This window comes from Homo sapiens, chromosome 3 (assembly GCF_000001405.40).
Source record: "Homo sapiens chromosome 3, GRCh38.p14 Primary Assembly".
Lineage (NCBI taxonomy): Eukaryota > Metazoa > Chordata > Mammalia > Primates > Hominidae > Homo > Homo sapiens.
The window spans coordinates 70,220,380-70,246,677 of NC_000003.12; the positions used below are offsets into that span (position 1 = coordinate 70,220,380).

The window sequence follows — 26,298 nt, forward strand, 5'->3', positions numbered from 1 at the left end:
AGTGAGCTATGATGGCACCACTCCACTCCACCTGGGAGACAGAGCAAGACCTTACCTCTTAAAAAAAAAAATTACTTCAAGTTATATTTTTGCTGACTGACAGCAAAAATTAAGAACTGGTGCACAATTTCTAACTGGTACAAAATTGAATTTACTACCAAAGCACTGAAGTGAATTTCAACATACAAAACTAACCCTGGTTGGAAACATAGTCAGGACCCAGGAAGTATGTTAGTGTGTTGAGGTGTTTGGTCTCCCTTTAGAATGGCATCTGGGTATCATGTATGAGGAAACCTTCAACAATTAATTTTTATTCAACAAATATTTGCTGACTGCTACTGTATCAGGCAGTGAAAATATGGGGATGAATAAAATCCTTTGCCCACCCTTATGAAGATTTCAGTCTCTCTGAAGCGTTCCTAGACTTGCACAAAAGAAGGTCATTTCCTTTTTTGTGCTTCCATGACATTCAGTTGTAAGTGTGTCTTTCCCACCATCAGGGAGGGGAACCATGCCTTGGCATTCCTGAGCTTAGCACAGGGCTTGGCGTAAAGGGTGAATGAATGTAGTAGCTATGCATCAGCTTACTAAGTGGTAGGTAATGACATGTTTTAAATCTGGTTCTAAGGCTGCTAGTCTATTTGCTTTTTCCCATATTATATTGCATCTAAACCAGGTACAACAATAACTAGCACTGGTGAAATATTTTCAGATGAGAAATTTTCAGACGTGAAGTTCTTTGGAAACTGAATAGAAGTATAAAATTTTAGATGTGGAATAAACCGTAGATGTCAGTGAGTTTCCTCTCCCACATACCCATTCATCCATTCATTTATTCATTAGTGCCTGCTATAATAATAAAAATAATGATAGCTAACATTCACTTCACACTATGAGAAGCTTTGCCTAAGTGCTTTAAATGAATTCTCATTTAATCTTCACAAAAACCCAATGCGGAAGTTATTATACGTTCAATTTTCCTAGTGAGGAGAATACATCTTAGAGAAGAAGGGCGCTGTGCCTTATTCATTGCTTTTTTACTAAACTGGTAAAGATTAGGAGGAAGAATTTGAATTTGGGCATTTGGATTCTACAGCCTTTCCTCTTAACCACCGTGATATATGCAGGAGATACAAAGATGAATGAGGCCTGGTTGAGCCCTCAGGAGCTTTATGGCCTATTTAAAGGAGAAACACATGTCAACAGATAGCTTACCTACAGGCATTCCTTCTGTGCTGTCTCTAACCTGATTTTGGAAACCAGTATAATTCCCCTGAATGACAAGTGACTGGTCAATGATGCCAAGGTTCAAATGGAAGGGGAAAAAGGACAATGAGGTAGATCTTGGATGATAAGGAAATTTGGCTGTTGTCCCAATCCTTGGGACCGTGATTATATCGAGCATCATTGTTAAGGTGGTCTTGCCATTTACAGGACATTGCTAAATTTTTTGGCTGGGGCAAAAGTAATTGAGGTTTTGTCGTTACTTTCAATTGGAAAAACCGCAATTTGTGCCAACCCAATAGATAATGAGTGTTAGTACTCATCCTATCAGTTGGGTAGATTAGTCACCTCATTCCCTTTTAAGCACCTTGATCAATTAGGTTGTCATAGAAAAATGTCAAGTGTTCCATAGGCGAGTGCTTTGGCTCTATCCCACTTAGTAAATAACAACAACAATATTAACCATTGCCACACCCACCCTTTATCCTTTAGGTTTCTCCCAGTGCTTTTATGTTCCACAGCTTCTCCCTGTCTCCCCAGGCTTACACAGGCAAAGGTATTCTGCTGGTCTCTTTCTCTGAAAATCTAAGGCAGGTGAACAGTCAGAGCCTTGGAGAATTGTGGGTTTGGGTAAAATTCATACTTGCTTTTGGCAACTGGAGATGAAGACTCTTTGAAACTTCAGGTCCTCTACTTTGGAAGTTCTTCTGTGTTACCATGAAGATAAAACTACTCATTTTAGCTCATTGCTAAGAGCTCATTGGCATTTTTATTTTTGTCAAATGAGTTATAGAAAACTATACATTTTAAATCTATTTTAATAATTGGTATTTATGGATTTGTTTGTGTCTATGTGCTTACAAGTTAGCACTTTGGATAGGTTGGTTTTCGGTAAAGCAATTCTTCACTACTGCTAGATCTGCTTTGGGCTAATCTCACTTAAATTGAATTCCAAATAAATTTGAAGAGACTCAAAAGGGTTGAAAACAGTAATAGAAATTCCAAAAGAATAATACTTAAGATGGAACCTTAGGGCCTCCTAGGTTACTCAGACATCCTTACCACTTAGCTAATGGACTATTCAAACCTGAAGTGAGCCAGCCATACTTTGTACAAAGTTGTCTCTTGGTGATAGAAACTGGTATAAATATACAGGTGCCTCCTATTAAATAATTGTGGTAGACTGGAAAGAGTATTTCCTCCCTAAGATAGCTCCATAAGTCATTAGAAGATACTGCTGATGTTTTAAAGGAATGCTATTTGCTATTGTCAAGGTCAATCTGAGAGGAATGCCTTTTCAGGTGATCAGCTTGGTAAGCCCAAATGGTATACCTACATAATTTATATATCATGACCTGGAGTGCTTGTTGAAACACATATTGCTATGTTATACTTTCAGAATGTCTGATTCTGTGAGTATGAGTTAGGGGCAGGCTTCAAATTTCAGATACATTATATTAAACAAAGAGTGATGGAAAATGTGGCAAGTCTTATGGCCAACCCTCTGACACCTGCTTCTGATGATTGTCATTGTTCTATACTACTCTTTACGTCTATTTGTAACAGGGTGCTAACATGTGAAAGTGACACTTTTTGTCTAAGTTTTCCCTTATTGTGCTCTTATTTGTGAGCCACAAAGCAATCGAAACTCAGAGAGATGAAGTTATTTAGCCAAGGTCACACAGTCAAGACTCAACTCACTTTTTTTTCTGACTCCCAAGCCCTATCTCTTACCACCACCTATCTCTGCACAGATTCCTTAAAAATCAACTGAGATGAGTGCAGAGCACTGATATAAACACTCATATCCAGTATTTTGAGCCTACATATGTTTAAGAAAATGAGATAGAATTAAAAATGATTCCATTTTTTCCTTCCTGAGCAAAAGTTACTCTTGTAGATTTCAAGGAAACTAGCGCAGTGCCTCAATTTGGAAAGGCTGAGGTTGTCTCCCCCACCAAAAATGAGAACTTGATTGAAAAATTATTGTCCTTCGGGCAGGTACAATGAGTCTTACAGGCTATTTCCTGGTACCCTGTCACAGGTTCATTCCCAAGACTTAAGTCTGAAAAATTTCTTTTCCCAAGTTATTTCCCAGTTTTAAGAGCATCCTAGAACAGGACCAGGTCAGCTCCAAGCTGGTTGCATGCAATCAATTTAATTCACATACAAATGAACGTTAGCTGCTTTGGATTTCTTTTAATGGTTTTTCTCAGAGGTGAATTTGCTTTTAGGCACCCTTTTAGACTTAATCTTTTTTCTCCCTTTATCGTGCTCTTTCTCTTACTCTGCTTCATCAATCTAACTTTTGTACTCTCCTCTCCCCCCACCCTTTTGGTTTTGTTTCTTTCTTGACTATAACCTGATATGCTATCTCTATTGGAAATATGCAAGACTGCAGTATCTACAGTCTTTATATATTTCCCCATATATCTTGATCTCTATTCTTTATCACAGTAGATACTGTAACAAACACCAGGTTAGTGTAAAATCCAAATCCCTGTGTGTATCTTTATCACTAACAAGCAGAGGGAAAATAATTGAATGTGGATGAAACTGGATTCGTAGACTTTGGTAAATAGCCAAAATATATTTTCTTCTCAGTTTATAAGTAGGCTGATTCGAAGTCCCAGCCAAGGTTTCTACATGCACCTGACATGTTGCACTCTTTCTCAGTCCTCCAAGCACACTGCAATGGTGGATAAATCCAATACATTTGGAGAGATGACTCCATGCTGCAGCGGATGGTGCAAACTTCCATGGCTGAGCTGCTTTATTTCATTATGTTCTCCTACCTATTCTAGAAGCCCTTTGGATGGGCTCCAGATGTTCTATAAAAGGTGGCCCTTTTTTAAAGAAAAGCGCTTCATTCTCTTGTTGGCAGCACTTAATGAGTGTGTTCTCTGAAGATAGGAAAGCACCCTGCAGAGGATACATTTAACACAACACTATAATTTCCGCAATGCTCACTAAGTGTCTGACTTTACAACTGCCCCTTTGGCTTCTCAAGTGCCAGAGGCAGTAACGGGGTCAGTTAGAGAGCTTCCTGCAATACTTGGGAATCCACTCTCTGAGACCCGTGGAGTTAAATATCAGGAGAAAATTCACCCTTGGTTTTTTTTTTAATTCATTTAACCATTGCGCTCGGCAAAATGCTATTTCCAATTTTGCGCTCTATTAAAACATTGCAGTTGATAATATCACTGTAATTTTTGCAGTTTCCCCCCCCACACCTCACCCATCCAACAAAGAAAGGAGATGGCTGAAAATGTATGTTAAGTGAAAACATAATATTATACCCTCTTTTCCTTTTGCAAAGTGTGGTGAAACAGATTCATTAGTTTTGACTAAATACAAGGTTTTCATGAGGATTTTGGATAGGTGACATGACAATGTTGATACGTGTACTCAAGACAATGGAGGTTAAAACTGTTTGGAAAATATATTTCTCTAATATATCTTGGGTGTTGGAAAGTTACAGAATAAATATATGGTAGATCTTTCTCCATATAAGAAAGGAATTTTCAAAGCAAGTACATCCTTTCATGAAACACCTTTTGTGCCATGATGAACTAGTCCACAAAAGAAATTTTATTTTTTGGTTTAATAAGAGAAATGTATAATACTGATATGTCAATATGTTTTTCAATAAACTTTTCCCCAGATTTTCTTGAATTCTCTTCAGTGTGAGAATTATAATTATATGTCTTCCTCCCACTTGGAAAGTGGCACAAGGTGCTCATTTGCAGAGTTCTGCCGTTCAAGTCGCTAGAATAGAAATGTCATGACTCAGTTAACAATGCTTTATTATTCACATTGATCTTTTTTTATAGTGTTCTTTATCTCAAAAACATTGTAAATCAGATATCTACCTCCCACTCTTTTGTTCATTTGCAAATTTCTATTATTCTAGTTTAAGAAAGCAACGGTGTGTCAAGAGTCAGTGTATACTGTTTATATTCTCCCTGCTTCAAAATCCTTTTCTCTGTAAAAGTGAAGATGCTAGAAGCATGCCTAATTCCAAGTTCTCTAAACACATTCACAAGAAACACTGTTTCCCTTCTAGATCAAAAGCAGTTTAGTGTTTCTTGAACACCCCCAAAATGAAACAATAAAGTAGAACGATAGTTTGGTGATAAGAACAAAAACACTTAAGATTTATGTCTTTTAAAAAAATGTCATTTGTCAGTTAAAGATACATGGTGGTGCCATTGTTGAAATAATGTTATAATGAGCTTTGTTTAGACAAACGTTGCTAGTGGAAAGAGTTCTGGCCTCTGAGGGCTTAAGAATTATGTTATCAAATCTTTGTTCCCTCGCCATCTACCAAGTGGTCTTTTGATGATGCTTACGTCATTAACAATGTAGACAGGATGAGACATATTGCCTTAATTTTTCAATTCCTCTCTATATTGAAGAATATGGTAGGCATTTTCCAGGATGGATTAATCAACATTCACTTAAAAAAAATAAAAGACAACAGTGGATCACATCCCTCAGAAAACACATACAACATCCCCACCTAATAGATAAATTTGAAGGAGGACAGTAATCAGCATTTCCTTCACTCATTCGATAAACATTTATGAATCTTCATAAAGTGCCAGGCAATATACTAGCTGCTGGTAGATAATACAAAGATGAGTAAGACCTGGCCTCTGCTTTCGGAATTTGCTCTTCAATGTGTGAGAGGCACTCAGGTCATTTTAATAGCATGTGATGAGACGTATAACAGAGGCACACACACAGCTTTGTGGATGCAAAGCCCAGGAATTTCCTATTCTGTTGGGTATAATATGCAGAAGGGTGTCTCAGTGAAATTTTCACTGGATCTTTAAAAATTAGTGTTCAAGGCTGGGCGCAGTGGCTCACGCCTGTAATCCCAACACTTTGGGAGGCTGAGGCATGTGGATTACCTGAGGTCAGGAGTTCGAGACCAGCCTTGCCAACATGGTGAAATCCTGTCTCTATTAAAAATACAAAAATTAGCCAGGCATGGTGGCGGGTGCCTGTAATCCCAGCTTCTCGGGAGGCTGAGGCAGGAGAATTGCTTGAGCCTGGGAAGCGGAGGTTGCAGTGAGCCGATATCGTGCCACTCCACTCCAGCCTGGGCAACAGAGAGAGACTCTGTCTTAAAAAAAAAAAAAAAAAAATAGTGTGCAATTTCCAGGTGGCAATTAAAAACAAGATATTCTGAAGAGAAGACAAAGTTTGTAGAATATGGAAGTGTAAAAAAAATAGTGCTTAGCAGAGCATGGTAAGAAGTGGGATGGAAAAGGAGAGAAGAGGGACTGGTGGGAATTCTGATGAAGCTTTTGATCTTTACCCATAGATTTTTTATTTTAGCCTATAGACAATGGAGAGGCACTGGAGCAGTGGCTCTTGATTGACAGGGGATGGACCTCGAAAAAATACATGCATCTTTTTCCTGGGAAAATATACCATATGCAGACATATGATATAGATTCCTTTGATCCCCAGCACACAAATTATATCCAAGTTCCCTTAACTCCTGTGTAAGATACTTGAAATACAGGTTAAAGCAGGACTACAACAAGATCATATTTTTGTCTTAGAAATGCCATGATGGAGGATGAATTAGAAAGGAAATAGACTGGATTATAGTTGTTCTTATCTCACTGTTCTTTTTAAAATTAATCTCTAAACCTATTATAGTCTCCTCCTTATACTATATTTTCCTGGAGAACTGTGATAACAGTCTCTCTAGTTTGTTTTTGTTTTTTCCATACCACTTCTTACTCAAGAGATGAGAATATGTCAAGAAAACAATGTGATTCAAAATATCAAGTTCTGCAAAGAAGGCAAGTATACTTTGGCAGGAAAAACAGACCACTGACTTTGGCAATATGGAGGTCATTGGAGACTTTTGCTAGAACAATTTCGATAGAGGGACAAGGCTAGAAGACAAAGTGAGTGGGCTGAATGAAGGAAACCAAAAATAAGAAAGTGAAAAGTTGAACATAGATTACTCTTTCAAAAGGTATTAGGTTTTTGCCATTGAAACCGCAATTACTTTTGCACCAACCTAATAATACTACTTAACAATTTCTACAGGCTTTTGAGATGCCAGATAGTGTTCTGAGGCTTTCAATGAATAAGCTCTGATAATTCTCCCAATAACTCCGTGGGATAAGCACTACTACCCTCCATGTTTTACAAATGAGGAGGCTGAGGCACAGAAAGGTAATACAAACTGTGAATTATAAATGCAGATAGTAGTAAGCGGCAGAGCTGGGATTTGAATACAGGAAGTCTGGTTCCAGAAAAGAGCATGAGCTTTTAACTACCATGGTGCACTGCTTCTGCTAAAGCAAACTTAATAGGTGAATAGTATAACATTCATAGTAAGTATAATATAATAAATAATATTGATAATATAGTAGTATAATAGTAATATAATAAGCAATATAAATAATATCCAACAGAGAATCTTAATGATATCAGATTGAATAGGTCACTACTACTGTTAAAATAACATGTACTAAATAGTTCAACATTTAAAAGTGAAGAAGGTGGTAAGAGTTGTCTTTACTGTCCTTAATTTTTAGAGGTTTTAGTATCAAGAAAGGCATTTTACAGCTAATATCCACTATGCTATCTACTAAAACATTGCAAGCATGCCAAGATGCTGAAGAAAACATAACACTATATTATATATTTTATGTTTCACTAGAATGGAAAATATTAACCAAAAAATCTTTTCTTTAATCAAAGTTTCATTTGACAAGTAATTCATCTTCAGGATAGCTTTTCTTTCCTCTCAGAAGGAATTGTTGTCTTATGACTGACGTTAGGCTGCCAAAAAAAAAATAATGCTTCACTGATAGAGATTCAGAAATAGACTCTGTATTTTAATATAGTACAGTTTTGGGAGAAGGACCCCTGTTATAGTTTTTCTAAGTTCTTTGTTTGTTTGTTTGTTTTCTAATGTCTAGATTAAGTAAATGAAAGGAAAATATTTCAGAGTCGACTTACTGGAACCTGATGAAACATTTAAGTTTTCTTACTTTTTTTTTTTTTTTAGTGTGGGGCTAAATGTTAAAAATTGAAAACAAAATAACAGTTTTACATTTGATGAAGGAAATGTATATTCTTCTCATTAATTTTTTCATGAATCTTTTTTTTTTTTTACTAACAACAGTCAAGTTTCATTTGCATTCTCCTTTTCTCTACCTATTAAGATGGATAGCTGGGTTATACCTCAAAATTCCTTAATTCCTTTAGCTAATGCTACCAAGTGTCTATTATGTGGCAGACTATGTAGTACGTGAGGAGAAACTCAGCTAAAAGGTGTGAGTTAGCTTTCAAATAGCTTCTAGTCCAAGAGCAGAGTCCAGTGAAGAAACACGGAGAATACCATGTAATAAATGCTACAACAGAGGCTAATGGGATACCAATGCAGGGCACCCCACTTAGCCTCCACAGCTAAAGAGGTCTTCCCAGAGAAGATGAACCAATAACTGAATTTTGAGGAAGAATAGAAAGGATGTACCCTCTCTTTTATCAAAAGCATAACACTTTTTGTAAACTTTACCACAATTTTTAGTTATCAGCATCTTACACATACAAGAAAAGAAAAGGTGTCAGAGGAGGAATGGTCAGGAAGCAAGAGAAAATTCCAGAGATAGCCAAGGAGGGTGAGTGTGTGAAAGAATTTAGTGGGCAACCATGTCAGTGCCTATATTAGGAATATTCTGTATTCAGAATGATCCTTATTTGCATATGCTGGTATATCCGATCCTTCAAATATGGCTAAAGAAGATCATTTTAATTACCCTCTCTTTAGCTCATAAAGATTTATGTTGGTGACAGAGACTAGCTAGATGCTACATAGCAGAACTTGCTTCCTTTTTCTGGGCACACGGTTAAACTATATTTTTCTGGTTTTCTTGCATCTCAGCAGGACATAAAAATAGTTCTGGCTGAAGGGACATGGGCAGAAATGATGTAGCTCCCTTGCATGTTAGGCCTCTAAAATATATCACATGATTCTTCACGTTTTATTCTCTACTTATTGGCCAGCTGAAAACAGAAAATATGGTAGACAACTCTGATGAGCCCCTAAAAATGACAGAGCCACAAAATAGAAAAAGCCTGGATCCCTGAGTCACCACATGGTGGAAAGCAACCTAGGGATATCTATCTGCATTGAGATTTTGGTGGCCAAGAATTCACTTTTATTAAATTTGGATACTAAAATTTGGAGGTCAATATTTGAAACAGCTACTGTCAATCAGCCTAGCTAATAACATGTTAATTTGGGATACAACTTATATGTGAATTAATCAAGAATATTTTGGGGTATATATTATGGAATTATAATGATACAAATATTTAATATTTATTGAATTCTAAGATTTGTACAAAGTATAATATATTATTATCTAATTTTATCATATTAAAAGTGCTATGTCTTAGATGCTGTTGCTGCCATCCCCATTAAAATGGTTAAGAAATTGAGCTCAGGGAGTTGGAAATATTTACTTAAGTTTATAGAATTAAAAATGGTCAGGCCGAAATTGAAATCCATGCTATCAGACACAAGAGCCATCCATTTAACAGCACATTGTCTCTTACTGGTAGATACCATAATTTACATTGGACAGTGAATGCCCTTTTAAGAAAGTAAACATAGTTTAACACCACCCAATGCAGTTCCCTTCATTCTGTAGACAAACATAGGAGATTCATTTCACTGCAACGAAATTTCACTGCATAGCAATAGAAATTTTTTTCACCAGGATATCCTTTCATAAAAATCTGTGTATATTTGAGGGCTGGTGTCAAACGCTTATTTTTTGACCACTAGAACTTTTACTTGGATCTCAAAACCTCTATGAAATTATTGTTACATTAGACAAATTCGAGATGAATCATATATATATATATACAGTTTTGCAATCCTAGCCTAATAGATGTTTGAATAATGGAACTCTCTCTTGAAATTACTGGCAGAAGTTGTCTACTTATTGTTTATTATTTAAAAACTGGTTTAATTTAACAACAACAAAAAAAGTTGAGCTGCAATGACAGCAAACGGTAATTTGATAATCAATTCTAGGTTTCTTTGGTGGATTCCTCTGTAAGTGGTGGTTTGTCTGTGGAAGAATTCATCCCATGCCTTCACCCTCCTTGAGTTTTAAAGGCAATGCTTCATGGTGAGACCAAGGTCCAAATACGTCTTCAAATCTCAGGATGTTCATGCCCATGCCACACCTGCTGTGTTACTATCTTCCTCCCAAGTCAGAAAAGAGAATCTTAACAAACCCAGCTCTGTTGAAAAGGCAAACTTCCACTTTTCAATTTGGATGAAAAGACCACAACCTGATCCCATTTCGCAGTGATTCCCTGCTCCAGGATGCTGCACTGACCCTCCAGGGCCTAGCAGCCCTGGAACATCGTGTCTTACCATCGCTCTGCATTTGCAACAAATGCTTTTCTACCATTCCTGACATAACAGCTCTATTGTTATCAATTGTAAATGTATTAAAAACACACAAGGGCATTTTCGTACATGTACGTGAAAAATATTATTGCCTGACAGGCTCCAGTCAGCAAGTGCAAAGAGGTTTTATTGAAGGAAACAGCAGTGGCAAACAGCTAGCCATGCTCAAGGAAGGGAATAGTTCCTTTAACACTGGCGGCACACGTTCGCTTAAGACGACGCTCCTGCCCCTGCCTTTTCCACACCCAGAGGACCTGCTAGACAAGCAGCCCGCCATCTCTCTCTGGGATCAAGCTGTCAACGCAAACTTGCGTTTTTTCTCTTTTTCTGAGCTAAGCTCTACCCCCAGAGCTCCCGACGCCTTCCTGAGTGAAAGCTCTAAAAGAGCTCCCTTCTAAATTGCATCACACGTGCCGCGTACTCTTCAAACTGACAGAACAAAAGAGCCAAATTCCAAAATTCTGGTCTGAATGACTTGTTAGTTGTGCTGGATGATTACCCCTTAATGGGCTTGGAGAACAGGCTGGGGTGTCCTTCCCTGGTTAGTTACCAATTAAGGCTGATTTGCTTAATCAGGGAAACACGCTAAGGAGAGAGAGAGAAGGGAAGAAAGCCACACACGCAGAGAGACAGAGATACACGGAGAGAAGAAATGGGACAAGGAGAGAAGAAATGGGACAAAAGCCAGTCCCACGACTGCCCCCTTGCCCCTACTAATTAGGTGGCAATGAAATTACTTGGACCAGGAGTCACAAAAATAAATTCTCATCTGGAAGCTACTAAACAGGCCTGCTGTGATGTGTGCATGTGTGTGTGTGCATGTGTGTCTGTTTTTCCCTTCCAGAGCTGATGCTACACCAAATAACAGTCGTGTATTCTTGACAGTTGTTCAGTGTTGGGAGCCCCCAAAGCGTTATTGTCTGCTCCTTCCACCCTTCTTCCCCTTAGCCATTAATAAGCATATTCAACTGCTGAGGGTCACTTTGTTATTCTGACATAATGAACTGGGAGATGTGCTTTCCAAGTGCTGAGGCTGACACGGTGACACTGGCAGCGAGATGTTTTCACCTCGAGGTGCCCCAACCGTACACTCGACACACTTGGAAGAATAAATATTGATCTGCTCTGTGAGGGTGTGCACCATGTGAAATGTTAATGCTTTTCAACAGCTTTGGACACACCAAGTAGCTATTATTACTACTGTTATTATAAGGTAGAGAATCCCAGCAAGTGTCTCATCTTCAACCTTTATCCTCATGATCAGTGCACATGTGTCGAATGCCCACAATATTCACACCTCCACTCATGTGGCTGGACACAATGATGATGTTCCTATTTTTTTTTTTTTCTTGCGATGGAGTCTCGCTCTGTCGCCAGGCTGGAGTGCAGTGGCAATCTTGGCTCACTGCAACCTCCGACTCCCGGGTTCAAGTGATTCTCCTGCCTCAGTCTCCTGAGCAGCTGGGATTACAGGTGCCCGCCACCACGCCTGGCTATTTTTTGTATTTTTGATAGAGACGGGGTTTCACTGTGTGGGCCAGGATGGTCTCAATCTCCTGAGCTCGTGATCCGCCCGCCTCAGCCTCCCAAAGTGCTTAGGATGAAGACATCATTCCTGAAACCCCTCAACAAGAGAGGTAATTAGTCACAATAATAATGTAAATACGTATTGTTTTTACCAATAATAAATATTTATTCCATCACAGGGACTGACTTCTTACTGGGTTGGAGATTTTCTGTTTGTCTTCCCAGGGTGATTCTCTCCTTTGTACAGAAAGAAGGAAAAAAATCTTGCCATTTCTAAAATCATAAGTGCCTATGAAAGTTTGAAGCCCTATGCTAGGCGTGGGGGTTCACACCGGTAATCCCAGCACTTTGGAAGGCCAAGGGAGGCAGATCGCTTGAGGCCAGAAGTTCAAGACCAGCCTGGTTATCATGGTGAAATACAGTCTCTACTGAAAATACAAAAATTAGCCGGACATGGTGGCATGCGCCTGTGGTCTCAGCTAATTGGGAGGCTGAGGCACAAGAATCGCTTAAACCTGGGAGGCAGAGTTTGCAGTGAGCCAAGATCGCGCCACTGCATTCCAGCCTGGGCAACAGAGTCTCAGAGTTTGGGTACTAAAAGCGAGCTCTCCCAAAACCCTAGTGTAGGAAAGAGTCATAATTAAACTGCTCTGCAAAAGATAAAAGCTGAAATCTGTGGAGTGGGTGGCCCTGGTGATGTTTGAGGGAGATAGGAGTGCAGCAAGATGACAGGAGCAAGATTTCAGCGTGGAATAATGACCTGTGACAGTAAGCAAGTGACACAGTTCACAATACAGGTATCTAATATCTCATTTTAAATCACTTGCCAGCTGGCATTTTGATGATAAAGCTTCCCTTTTCGTTGTTTGCTGTTTAAAACCTTTTTATAGATTTAAGATATATTACATACAATAATTGACAAGGCTTTAAAGCATAACATTTGATGACTTTTGACATATGTGTGCACCAAGAAGCCATCCCCACAATCAAAACAACAAACATTTCCATCATACCCTCTGCCAGAGTTTCCCTATGTCCTTTTGTAATCCATGCATCCCTCTACTTCCTTCAGTAGGCAACCTGCGACCCATTCTTCTTACTACAGATTGACTCAACTTCTAAAATTTCATGTAAACTGAATCACTCAGTTTGTACCTTTTTTTGGTCAAGATTTCACACAGCATAATTATTTTGAAAGTTATTCAGATTGTTGCATATCTAAACAATTTTTTTTAGCTGAGTAATATTTAGTTGCATGAATATACCTTAATTCAGTTTATCTATCCACCCAATTGAAGGATATTTGTATTGTTTTCAGTTGTTGGCTGTTGCAAATAAAGCTGCTATGAAAATTCCCGTGCAAGTTTTTGTGTGGATATTTCTCTTGGCTAAAACTCTAGGAGTAAAATGCTGAGTCATGTGATAGGTGTGTGCCTTGCCCATTGTTTTCTCATTTTTGACAAACTTTAATAAAATTCTGATACACACATTAAGAATAAAAAGACTGGAGTCATATCTAATGAGACCCAGAAATATCTGAGTGGGATGTGGACAACTACTTACAATGAATGACTTAGGATTGGGTATGAGACAATTCCACTTTTCAAGTATTCTAGACACTTAGAGGGCTGGGTTGACACCTAAAAAATACATTTGTTTATTTTTTAAGCTATTTAGTCAACTCATGTTTATTGAACATCTACTATATGCTAGGCACTCTGATGAGGTTTGGGATAAAAAGCAAACAGTACTGATAAAATTCCAGTGCTAGGCTAGGCACAGTGGCTCATGCCTGTAATCCTAGCACTTTGGGAAGCTGAGGTAGGTGGATTTCTTGAGCCCAGGAGTTTGAGACCAGCCTGGGCAACATAACAAAACCCCATCTCTACAAAAAATAGAATAATCAGCCAGGCATGGTGGCATGCACCTGTAGTCCCAGAGGCTGAGGTGGGAGGATCACTTGAGCTTGGGAAGTCGAGGCTGCAGTGAGCCATGACTATGCCACTGTACTCCAGCCTGGGTGACCAAGTGAGACCCTGGCTCAAAAAAAAAAAAAAAAGTTTCTGGTGCTTAATAGAGCTATGGTCACAAGTAATGGACACACATACATCTACTTTGCAGCAATTTGAAATCTTTGTGATCTACTCACAGACCAACTTTTCTATTTCGTCCCTCACTTCTTCCTTGCTTCGTTTTAAGCAAATTAATTTTTTAATTGGTGCTGCTTAAGATGTCATCACATGGAATGCCTCCTCTTCTTCTCACTTATTCAAATCTTGCCTGTCACTTTTTAAACGCTGCCTTGGACATCTTCAGCCTGAAGAAACCTCACGGTTTCCTGATTTATTTGGTCTGGAGTGCAGTCTGGGCATCACGATTTTTAGCAACTGTGAAGATGATTCTAATGTGTAGCCAGGCTTGAGAACCTCTGCCCCAAAGAGATTTTATCAGTACGGTTTCCTATGATTGCACTTTGCTGCAGAATGTCCTTGTTCCTTTATGTTTTTTTCCAACCTCTATTGGAGAAGAAGGGGCCCTCTGTCTTTTAAAGGTGAACCTTTGCATGAGGGGTTTACATCCCTATCTCTTTTACCATCCACAAAAGATGTGTCTTCATCAACCGTCGTTCTCTTTCCTTGCATCTTCAGTCTTACTCTACTGACTGCTTCCTCCCTCTGGATGCATTCTTAGGTGTACTAGAGACTATAAATCCTTTGTGCACTATTTTTTCCATCTTCAAATTCCTCTGGGTAGTCCTTAATACATACTATTTCATCACCCACTCACTCCTTAATCCCTCACAATTGGCTTCCGTCTCCTCGCAAATTAAACTGACCTTTCAAAGCTCATGTGATAATACATGCTAGGTGCTTAATAAATAATTGTTGAATGAATGTTAAACACATGAATACATGGCTCTAATCACCAAATCAATGATCTGTAATCAGTTTCCATCCTTGACACATGGTCAGTCAGGCTCACGGCTCTGTCCTTGTCTTCTTTAATGTAGAATCCTGGTTTTTCTCCTCTTTTAGAGGTTTCTCTATGACCCCTTTGCTGACCACTCTTGAATATGTTAGTCTGCACAATGTGTAAGGGTTCTGGTGGCAGACAAAGTTGGCATTCAAATCAGGCCATTGATAATTTATTGCTGTATGACTTAGGACAAATTATCCCTTGTCACTAAGCCTCATTTCTTTATCTATAGAAAAGAAATAATTATAGCATTGTTTCAAAGGTTGATGTGCTACTTAAATGCCACAGCAAAGACAATACATGTTCATTAAATGTTCATATTAGTGGTTCAATGGACGTAAGCTTCCTATGGGCAGTCACCACGCCATTTTTCCCACCATCATGATTCTGTCTTCAAAACCTGCACAGGATTTGTCACAAGGTGCTTGAAAAAATACTAGCAGCGAATGAATGAGCAAATGCATCATTCTACTTCTCTTAATGAATAATCTTTCCCACGACCTTGGCTTTAGCTCTCTTCACTCTTTCCCTTGCTAACCTAACTTATTCTCTAATGACCTGTTGACCTTATTCATTCTTCAACTCTCTCCTTCGCATAGATGACTGCTAAATCCAAACTAAAATCGACTTGGCCCCTTGTGATCTACAGATCCAGATGTGTTGTCTTTTAGACACTTCCCAAAATAACTTTTCCAGAGACATCACTTTGAGACTTTAAACTCCCTGCACTTAAAAAAGAATGATTATCTCCCCTTAATCCATATTGTTCACTCATATATATTCACTTCTTGTATATTTTATGTATTTTATTATACATTTATATTTGGAATGGCCTCTAAAGAGTTCTACCTGCCTATTTGTTTATTAGCCTTAAGATATTCCCACTTGCAACATGTTCTTCTTACTAATGTGTAAGCCTTCATGTATTAGCAACCTCCACATTGACAACCAAAAATAATGATAATATTAATTTTTTAAAGTCCATACTCCTTTTGGGGCCTGTAAATTGACCCTTATTTTACTAGAAAACTTTTTTTTTCTGAGACAGGGTCTCACTCTGTCACCCAGGCTGGAGTGCAGCGGCACAATCATGGCTCGCTGCAGTCTCAACCTCCCAGGTCCAAGCAATCCTCCTGCCTCAGCCTCGTGAGTAGCTGGGACCACTGGTGCATGCCACCATGGCTGGCTAATTAAAACTTTTTTTGTAGGAATGGGGTCTTTGTATGTTGCCCAGGCTGGTCTCAAAGTCCTGGCCTCAAGTGATTCTCCCTGCCTCAGCCTCCCAAGGTGTTAGGATTTCAGGTAACAGCCACTGCGCCTAGCAGAAAACCTTTATTTATGTAAAAAATATTTCTTTATTAAGCAAGTCACATGTAGGTAAGTTTCTATTGTGAAAAATCATAGCTTAAGCAACACAGATGTGTCAATGTCAAGGCAACATCTCCACTTCATTACTGCAGCTTGCCCCATTCTCACTGCTCTTTGACAAATTTATTTGGTTCCGTATTATCAGTTTGGGATAAAGCTTTTCCAGATCTTTTGCATTCATTCTCGAACATTTGCATATCTGGTTTTTACTTAATGTAAAGGGGGCCAAGCTGTATTTATTAATGGGAAGCTATATTTTTCCCTTTGTTAGTATATCCTGGAGGTGTGCTCATTTAGATCTTCCTCATCCTAAAGAATTACTGCATCATATTCTCCAGTGCGGATACACCACAATATAGACAGACCTCTATTAATGAATGCTTAAACACTACCTTGCTATGTTTATTTCCCATCCCTCTCATATGTGTGATCTTTTAACCAAATAAAAAAGCCCATTTCAGACTTTTCTATCTTGACCTCTTTGTGCATGCCTTTCTTTTCCGATTCCTTTCAGTGAAACGTCTGCTTATCCTCCAAAACTCAGCTCAAATGTTAACTCCATGTTCTGTCCATCATGCTATGCTAAAATTGATGTCTTACACCTCTTACTCTTCTTCTTCAATCATTCAAGGACAGGCTCTAATGTTTTTATACTCCCACAGAGCTAAACCTAGTGTCCTACATATAGTAAACTTGGAATCCATGTATTGCCTAAATAGGGAAAAGATTGTTAACCTTTTGTTATCTAACATGTATACACACACAGATTATAAGCAACTCCAAGGTGAAACATACCTCAATGGGCTTTGAATAATGTGCATGTGTTATGATTTGTATGCCGGTGCCATGGCAGCCATATTGTGGGCATGGACAAAGGCAGAGTATTTTTCCTTAAATATTGCACTGAAAGTGCCCCTTAATCACTATAGGAAGCTACCACAAAGAAAGGAGGATGAACTTACCAGGATCTCCAAGAGGATTTAGAATTGAGGTGGATAATCCTAAAAGAGAAGGGAAAAGAAACTAATTGAGTGGTATCTTTTTTTTTTTTTTTTTTTTTTTTTTGCCTGTCCAGGATCCCTTTTTCAGGAAAGAGAACTGTACTTTATAGTGACGAACCTATTCTTTATACCTTGAGTGGAAATGGCTTGCCCTGTCCTGCTCCTCACACAGACATATGATAGCCAGAGTCCTCTATCTCCTAGCCACAGCAGCTTGTTCTAGGATGCTTGTGAGACTCGCATAGCACCAATCCAGGCGTTCCCTGACACTTGAAATTAGCATACTGGGAGTAACAGTTCTCTCCTTCTATGTAAGGTGTAAACACTATTTGGGCTTTGGGTAGACAGAGCCATTTTTCTGCCATGTGTAAAAAGTCTATCTGAGGCTGGGCATCGTGGCTCACACCTGTAACTCCAACATTTTGGGGAGGCTGAGGCAAGAGGATCATTTGAGCCCAGGAGTTCAAGACTAGCCTGGCAACATGTAGAAATCCCATCTCTACAAAATAAATAAATAAATAATTAGCCAGGTATGGTGATGCATGCCTGTGGTCTCAGCTACTTGGAAAGCAGATGTAGGAGATCTATTAAGCCTGGGTGGTGAAGGCTGCAATGAGCCATGATCACACCACTGTACTCCAGCCTGGATGAGAGTGAGCACTTGTCTCAAAAAAGAAAAAAAAAAGTCTCTCTGAGAATAAACCCCCAAAAGGGGGCCAAGAAAAGAAAGTAAAGGCAGGGCACTTTAGCCACAGGGACAAATTCCAAATGTATTGTTTGGGTCCCCATATTTAGTTGCTCCTGAAGCTTGTCTCCATCTGGACATCCTAGATATGTGAGTCTACAAATTCCCTCTTTATCTAAACTGGTTAGGTTTCTATGACCTGTAATGGAAAGAGACTCACAGAATTGCATAGGAGGTTTAATTAATTTTATATATTTCTTCTGACTCTATTTTCTTCCCATCTCTTTTTAGAGGATGCATGCTGATTAAATTCTCTAAATCTAATTGTTTAATCTCTGCTTTCTAACTCCTAAAATATTCACAGAGTGGAAATGTTTAATTTTGTGAAGGTATGCCAAAAATGATCTACAAAAATGGCTTAAAATTGGAGGCTGAATCTTATGCTAAAATGAATGGAAAAGAATAAAGAAACTGAGATGTGGTTTCTGCTGAACTGGTCTTTCATCAGTTCTATTCAATTTGCAATAGTGAAAAGTGGGGCTAGGAATTTACGTATGTTATGTTGAGTACGTACTCAGTTCAACTATGTCATGAAATTTACCTGTATCTTGTAGATATTGTTATCTTGATTTCAAAGATTGTTTTAAAAAATCAAATGGTTTTCACAGTTTCTTTCTTGCCCAAGGTCCAAGTCTTACCCTAGCTATTAGGTATAGAAATGGAAGATTAGACCCCAGCTGTCTGAGTTCTCAACGCTTCTCCACCATTCAGGATGTTATGCAATTAGGTTGGAGATTGACTCTGTTCCCAAAGAGAACATTTCCAACTTTAGTCAACTGTCTTGAAGTTCATGGTTTGATCATTATTGTTTTGGAGGAAAACAAAGCCAATCACTTTCTAGGGAGTACATTACTATAAAGAGAGTATAAAATTTGAATTTAGAGACACATAAATTCCAGCTTCATTTTCACTAAAGAGCTCTGTGATTCTGAAGCTTAACATTTCTAGACCTCAGTTTCCTCTTTGGTCAAACAAAGGGAATGAGGGCCGATCATCTCTCAAGTCTATTTCATCATTTCTCTCCTGGTAAGTGCTTCCCCAGAGCCCTGTATTTTTCCTGTAGGAGATCATATCGCCCTATGTTATGATTATATGCTAAATACAGTGACGTCTCGTTCAACTCAGTGTTTCCCAATAGTGAGTCCAGCGTCTGGCAGATAGATCATCAGTGAATATTTGTTGAATAAATAAATGAGACAATTAAGTCTATTTACTCTTGCGGACAAAATATTACTTTGTGTGTGTGTGTGTGTTGTATTTCTTTCACTGACCAAAGTAGTAAGCTTTGAAATTGAAGAAAATACCTAATATTCTAATTTTGCTGATGAGAAGTAAAAATAGGTTAATGATAGTTTTGAGTGCTTCAATGCTCAATACATCAGTATGGATTTTACACAGGACATTTCTTTAACTAGAAGCCCAAGATAAGCAAGGACTTAATGTAAATTTTTAAAATAAGAGACGTATTTTAAAGTGTAAAATGGCCATTTTAGATAACCATTGTAATTCAAATTTTAAGGCTTGGTAACAGAGCCATCCTGGTGAACTTTCTATGTGAAAAAAGTTTCCTTAATCAGCTTTTCCTATATTATCTCATCTTGGGGAAAAAAAACAGTAGCTAAGCCAGAAACAAGCAGAATAACCAATTACTTTTTTTTTTTAATCTCTCCACTTGTGTTTGTGAAGTAGAAGTGAGCTATGTGGTTTTTTGTCTTTGTTTAGACATTGGACAATAAAAATCATAAGAACATATATTTTTGACACACTATTTTTTGGTGTTCTTTGGAAGTTGGACCCTAACTAAAAAATATGTGTTTCCTAGCCCTTCTTACTGTGAAAATCCTTGGCAATATAAACAGATGCACTGGTTGGCTTTTAATTCTGACACCAGACTGTCTGAAATAATAGCTCTAAGAAAGTGTGAATTCTTTCATTCCTTCAGCGTCAATTATAAGTACTTAATTTGTTTATCTTTCTATTGCTGACTATAGTACCAATCTGGTTTATTTTTCACCTGGCTAAACATGGTGCATTTCAGAAACCCCTAGTTTATTCTGCACGAGAAGACAGAAGCAAGCCACAAGTCTGAGTTATTTTCATACACCGGGGCACATCACTGTAATTTAATAATTAAGATATTAAGTGGTGTTCTGAAAAATTCAGTAATATAGGCCCATAAGATGACAGAATTAGGGTACTTGATAAGCAGTATGAAAACACTGAATATTTCTTATAAAAGTTGATTCATCATTTGATAAATGAGCCAAGTTAATAGCTTACTAGCTCATCTTGGCCTTTCACAGTCAAGGATATTCATTTTTTCGTGTCCACCCATTTTTACACCTTGTAACCAATTTACTGTCACAGTGTTTTTAGCCTGTGATGTGACTGCGGTGACACTGACTTCTGTGACTTCTGTTCATGGATGGAGTACCATAAATGACATACGGGCTGATAAATTTATCAGTTCCTGGGAGTTGAGATATTTTGGAAGAATTGCTAGAACGGTTCCTCATAAATATTGTCATATTTCTACTTTAAAACTCCACTCTTTAGAGGTGTGTCTTTATATACTGGAGGCAAACATAAAATCAAAAGGCAAATTATTGCTGGAACTCATGATAAACATGATGAAGAATGTGCTATGCTTCTCCAATTGTTTTCTTTCAAAGTCTGTCTTTGTATATGCATTCATATTTTGAGATGTTTTCACCAGTCATTTTGGTGACTAACACTAAAAAAGTTTATATCTCATTTGTAAATATGATGAAAAGAATTATTAGGGCTAAAATGTAATGGGAGGTATGGTAGGAATTGTTAAGCCCTTTATTTTTATTATCACACTTGAATCCTCATAACATTGCTAAAGGTATTCTTGTTAGTATTTTTCTCATTTTAGAGGTAAGGAAGTTGAAATTTAATGATACTAAGTACCTGACCCAAGTTCACAGACTCAGAAAGTGGTGGAAGCAAATACTTTAACCAAATAGGGCCAGAGTGTTCAATCATGTCCTGCTGTTCCTAAACATTGCGGCTACTAAGGCGTCTAATGTCTCACACACATGAGTCCATTTAATCCTTCCTAAAAACCATTAATGTTGAAAATATTATACCTATTTTACAAATGGAGAAACTGAAACTCTGATGAAGTGATTTGCTCAAGCTCACACAGTGTGTAAGTAGTAGAGATGGGCTTAGAACGAAGGTTTGCCTGAGTCCAATAACCTGTGCTCAAAAGTTTCATTCTAAACTGTATAATAACATTTGTTTAGGCCCTTAGAGTTTATTATCTAATCCTAGTAGGTGGCACCAACACAGTTCTTCTGTGTGCAACGGCTGACTACACTATCTTTGATGCCAGAAAGACTAGAGACAATTTCCTCGTAAGGGTAAGGGCCAATGATGTGTACTGCTATTGTGACATATGTATAATAGGGATGAAAAGGAGTCTTGGAGGATATGTATTTCTACTGGTAAAAGCAGAGGCTGGGGATTGGGCTTCTGGAGTATCTTTCCAACCTTTTTTATATGACACATCATTTCATTCATATGCCTCCAATTAATCTCCCCTAAAATCAAGTTGGCTCTGATAACATCTCTTTGGAAATGGTGGGAAAAACACATAGTGACATCCTCTTGATCTTTTTGCAAAAACACAGCTATGATTTTGTCAGTTTTTAAACTTTTTTCCCATTTGTGGAAAATTTCTTTTTGTAGAATTAGATAATTATAATTGAGAATATGAAATCTCAGTGGCCCATAGGTCCCATGACCATCCTTTGGGGCAGTTACTTGGACAAGCATGATAGCTTCTAAGTTGTTTCCTGTTGTTCTTGGCCTCATTGCAATCCTTTCCAAAACTTCCCTCCTTCTCTGCTGCATTAGTAATGCAAAATGAAATTCATTGTGCCCATTATATCTGTTAAATGGTTTCCATTTTAACTTGAGAAAAATGTATTGACGTTCATGTGTTTGGCATGAAAAATGTGTATATCTATCGAAGATAGCAACTTGTCTGGTGGAATTACAGTGCATTATGTATAATGCTGCTTTTAGCTGTGCATGTACATTTCCTGGAATCTTATTGTGTCAGAGCTTGGAAAGTTTACACAAGCATTGGTAATCTAATTTTTGTCTGGTGGGTGGCTGTGGAAATATGGAGTATTTGAAAAAGCAAATGTCTTGGCCATCTGTGCCAGGGAGGGGTTTGGTGGCAGGGGTGTCTAGGCAGGTGGGTAAAAAACAACCATCAAAAAAAGACTTTAAAAAAATTGCCCCAGGCCTAACCTAAATACTAATTTCCCAAGAGCAGAACGATATAACCGTTTTGTGACATGGGTTTTTAGCATATTTCTGGTTATTCTTTTTAGGAGTTCTAATTGTAAGGTGGAGGAATCTGTTTTATCTTTCTCCTGCCTCTTAATGATAATCCTTCTCTAGACTATATTGTTTCCTGTGCCTTTTGTCTTCTGCAGACAAGAGTCTTTGGCTCATGAACATCTTGTTAAGGTCTGTTGAGGATTGGGGGCTGTGACACAATTTTCTTGCTGAGTCTTTTTATTGGGGATTTTTCAGCTGGTTTGTCTTGGAGGCCTTTGAAATGTCTTCTATCAAGCAATAATTTTCATTTTTCTTTGTTTTCCTTAAAATTGGGGTTGTATTTGGCTCAACTGTTCCTGGGGTCTAGGTAATGAATTGTATTATTTAATAGGCCAGTGTGAAATTCTGTGTGCAGCAGCTGCACTGCTCTCTTTCTTTCAGAGTTGCTTAAATCCTACTCACTGCACTGCTGCTGAATGTGATGTAGTTTTCGTTTTTTGGCTTTAAGTGTATTTCAGCCACACATCTAAAGCAAGATTTCTTAATTTCTGCACTATCGTCATTTTGGACTGGAGAATTCTTTGTCGTGGGGGTGCTGTGCTATGCATTCTGGGTTGGGTGGCAGCGTCCCTAGCCTCTACCCACTCGATGCCAGCAGCACCTTCTCCAACGTCTCCAGGTATTCCTAACGTCCCCTGGGGAGTGAAATCACCCTCAGTTGGGCATCACTGATCTAAAGCAAGATTGAAAGACAAGGCTGGCATGATGTAAAGGAATTTCCATAAAAAGCACTGAACTCAAGCAATGCAATGACAATTCTGAGAGAGCTTTGTGTCTAGGAGGATATGTGGAGGAATTGTATCACACATCCCTGGAGAAAATACTGTAATAATTGTCTATAGTTTCCTAGAGTAAGTAACAGAGGAGGTAAGGGTCACCTTTTAACTGCTTTGCTTCTGATCTGCTAATTATCTCCTCACCCTGTGATGCCTTTCATCTCCCCTCTACGCAACTTGACTCACATATGGAAGATTCTAATTCTTCACAGATTTTCCACCGTAACTACTTTCCTAGCCTAACCTCCCTGCTCTTCGGTTTCCCCCACTGGTTTTCTTTGGCTCAAATGGGAACAAGGTGCCCATTATTTCTTTAATCCACTTCACCACCTAATAATTGCTGAGGACCAATTTTAACAAGATGCTTCCTTACTCTGTAATGCACTCCAGTAAGGAACTAATGTTTACCGTGATGAGTATTCTCTGTTCTAACTGAAAAGCTGAAATGCTGCCGACCACTGCAGTGTAGACTTTTTCATGTTTAACATTTTCTCAATGCCTCTTTGAGTGAGTTACATCTATTATATTTAATGGCAGTCTTATGGGCCTGTCAAAAGGGCATTCTATTTGCTACTGAAATATCAATTAAAATAACATGTAAAGGAACGGAGTAATCAAGTGCATCTGATGATAATATCAAGATTATTTTTAATTTTTTAATGCTGTGAAAGCTGTGAGTAGGCTAACAAATCTATTTGATCAATATATGGGATGTAAAAAGAAGAAGAGACAAGATTGACTGGTGAATAAAATGAAACTGACACAAACAGGCTGACAGCCAGCTGTAAGTCTCTTTAGGGCAAATGCAATTAACTTAGAATAATAGACTCAAATTTGATGGTTAGAAATGCATTTTTATTAACAATCACAGGCTGAATCATTATGCTCTTATGAATAAAATGGTACTTATATTTTGTGCATGTGTGTGCACACATATATAAATACATACACATACGTCTCTATGTATATATCCATGCCTCTCACATTCCTATGTGCTCTGCTTACAATTTGGGTGGAAAAGTTGATTTTTAGAATAATGTACTTTAAAAAGGAAATTCATTCATAAATAGTCTTCAGGACTATAAATTCTGAATATTCCCCCAAATTATATATATAAAAATCATACTACTTATCTGGTGCTATTAGACATAAAGCCAGTGAGCCCTGGTCCCAGAACTGCTGGTCCTTAGGGGATTTGGAATTGCAATCAGGGATTTACAGATTTCATTTTGAAGAGGAGAAGTCATTACTAGAAACCTAAGCTCATTTCCTCTCCTTTAATAGCTATTTTAAATCATTCATTTAGAAAATACATTAACTATTTAGGGTGCTTGCAATGCATTTCTCTTGGCGTTAAGTCTGCATTTTTAAAAGAGTTTTTTTCTAAAATTATTTCAAAAGAAGATGAGAATTAGAAAAAAACCAAATGAAATTTTGGTGATATAAAATTACTTTTGGATAACATTTTCCTCTCTCATTGCCTAAGAGAAAACAACTTAAAGCTTTAACAAAATATTAGAATATTAACACACTCTTAATGTTTTAATGCTAGTATAGATTTAAAAAGTACATGATTCTTGGAAAATCACAAACTTGACTTTGAATATGATTAAGAAATAGCATATGGTCGATGGCCTCTTTAAATGACTTTGTTAATAACTTAAATAGAAAGCAGTTTTAATTCTGTACTACTTACTTAATATTGATGCCAACCTTAACTAGTAACTGGGTAATAAAGGGAAACGAGATTATAGTAAAAAATAAGTAACTTTAATTTCTACAAAGAAATCAGAATATGGATTCTTGCATAACGTTTTTGCAAACTGCTTTATATATATATATATATATATATATATATATATATATATATATACACATTCAAATGCAAAATAAAGCTCCCTGAGTTATGTAATTGCTATTCTTCAAAAGGACATCATGAAGGTTGACAATTTAAAATGTGCTCTTCCTGTCACCATCCAATTTTTTTGAATGTCTACTGATGGTGTTAAAAACAATCTCCGCAGAAGAGGGCTGCCATTGCCAATTTAGGACACTGGCTTTGTTATTAGCATAGGCATATTAGATCATCCTCTTGCTCTTCCTGCCTGCTTTGTTCTTTTGATATGGTAGGGAACTGAAATTGACAACAGCCTACATTTATATAACAATAACTTGCATTGTTAAATATATATATGTAGATAGACAGATAGAGAGTTCTTTTATTCCCAAAAGATATCAAAGTTCACTACACACCATAAAAAAAAACCCCACAGATATATGCAGATGCTTCTGGGATGAACCGTAGCAACTATTTAAAAGCATAAAGTATTGACAGCCGTAAGATTCTTGGAATAGTACATCACCATTTTTAATTTTTGATATTTTTATCTCCTTAGAAAATTTCTGTTTTGTTCACCAGGAGGAAAGGATAAAGGTCACACTTTGTTACTTGAGCAACATGTCAGAAACAGTTTGAACGTAAGCTGGAAAGAAACTGTCTAAGTCTAAATGCTTGAACAACACTGCTGTTGTAAACACAAGACCAAGTAGGCTGCTTGGTATCTCATCATTGTTCAATCCACTGGTCCACTGAAACAACATAGAGTGAACTCAAAGTGGGGAGTTTGATCATTGGATGGGCATCACTATACATAGGGCTATCAGACTTATCAAACAGAAACACGAGATGCACAATTTAATTTGAATTTCAGTTAAATAATGAATCAGTTGTTAGTATAAGGATGTTCCATGAAATACGAGGAACATACTTGATAACTGAAACGTATTTAAGGGGTTGTTGACAACAACCTACATTTATATAGCAATACGTGGGAC

General features: G+C 37.8%; 1 protein-coding gene and 1 long non-coding RNA gene across 5 annotated transcripts in view; one reads left to right on the plus strand and one right to left on the minus strand.

Moving 5' to 3' along the window:
• Positions 1-26,298, plus strand: part of SAMMSON (survival associated mitochondrial melanoma specific oncogenic non-coding RNA) — a 435,002-nt gene that overhangs the window by 220,792 nt on the left and 187,912 nt on the right. The gene's annotated exons all lie outside the window — the stretch shown is intronic.
• Positions 1-26,298, minus strand: part of MDFIC2 (MyoD family inhibitor domain containing 2) — a 118,160-nt gene that overhangs the window by 25,901 nt on the left and 65,961 nt on the right. Inside the window, exon 3 of one of the 2 annotated variants that reach the window (NM_001364676.1) lies at positions 17,524-17,562. The exons of the other annotated variant lie outside the window; for it this stretch is intronic. Within the exon in view, the coding sequence (NP_001351605.1) occupies positions 17,524-17,562 (39 nt within the window). The remainder of the gene's footprint in view (positions 1-17,523; positions 17,563-26,298) is intronic. 2 annotated transcript variants of the gene reach the window in all.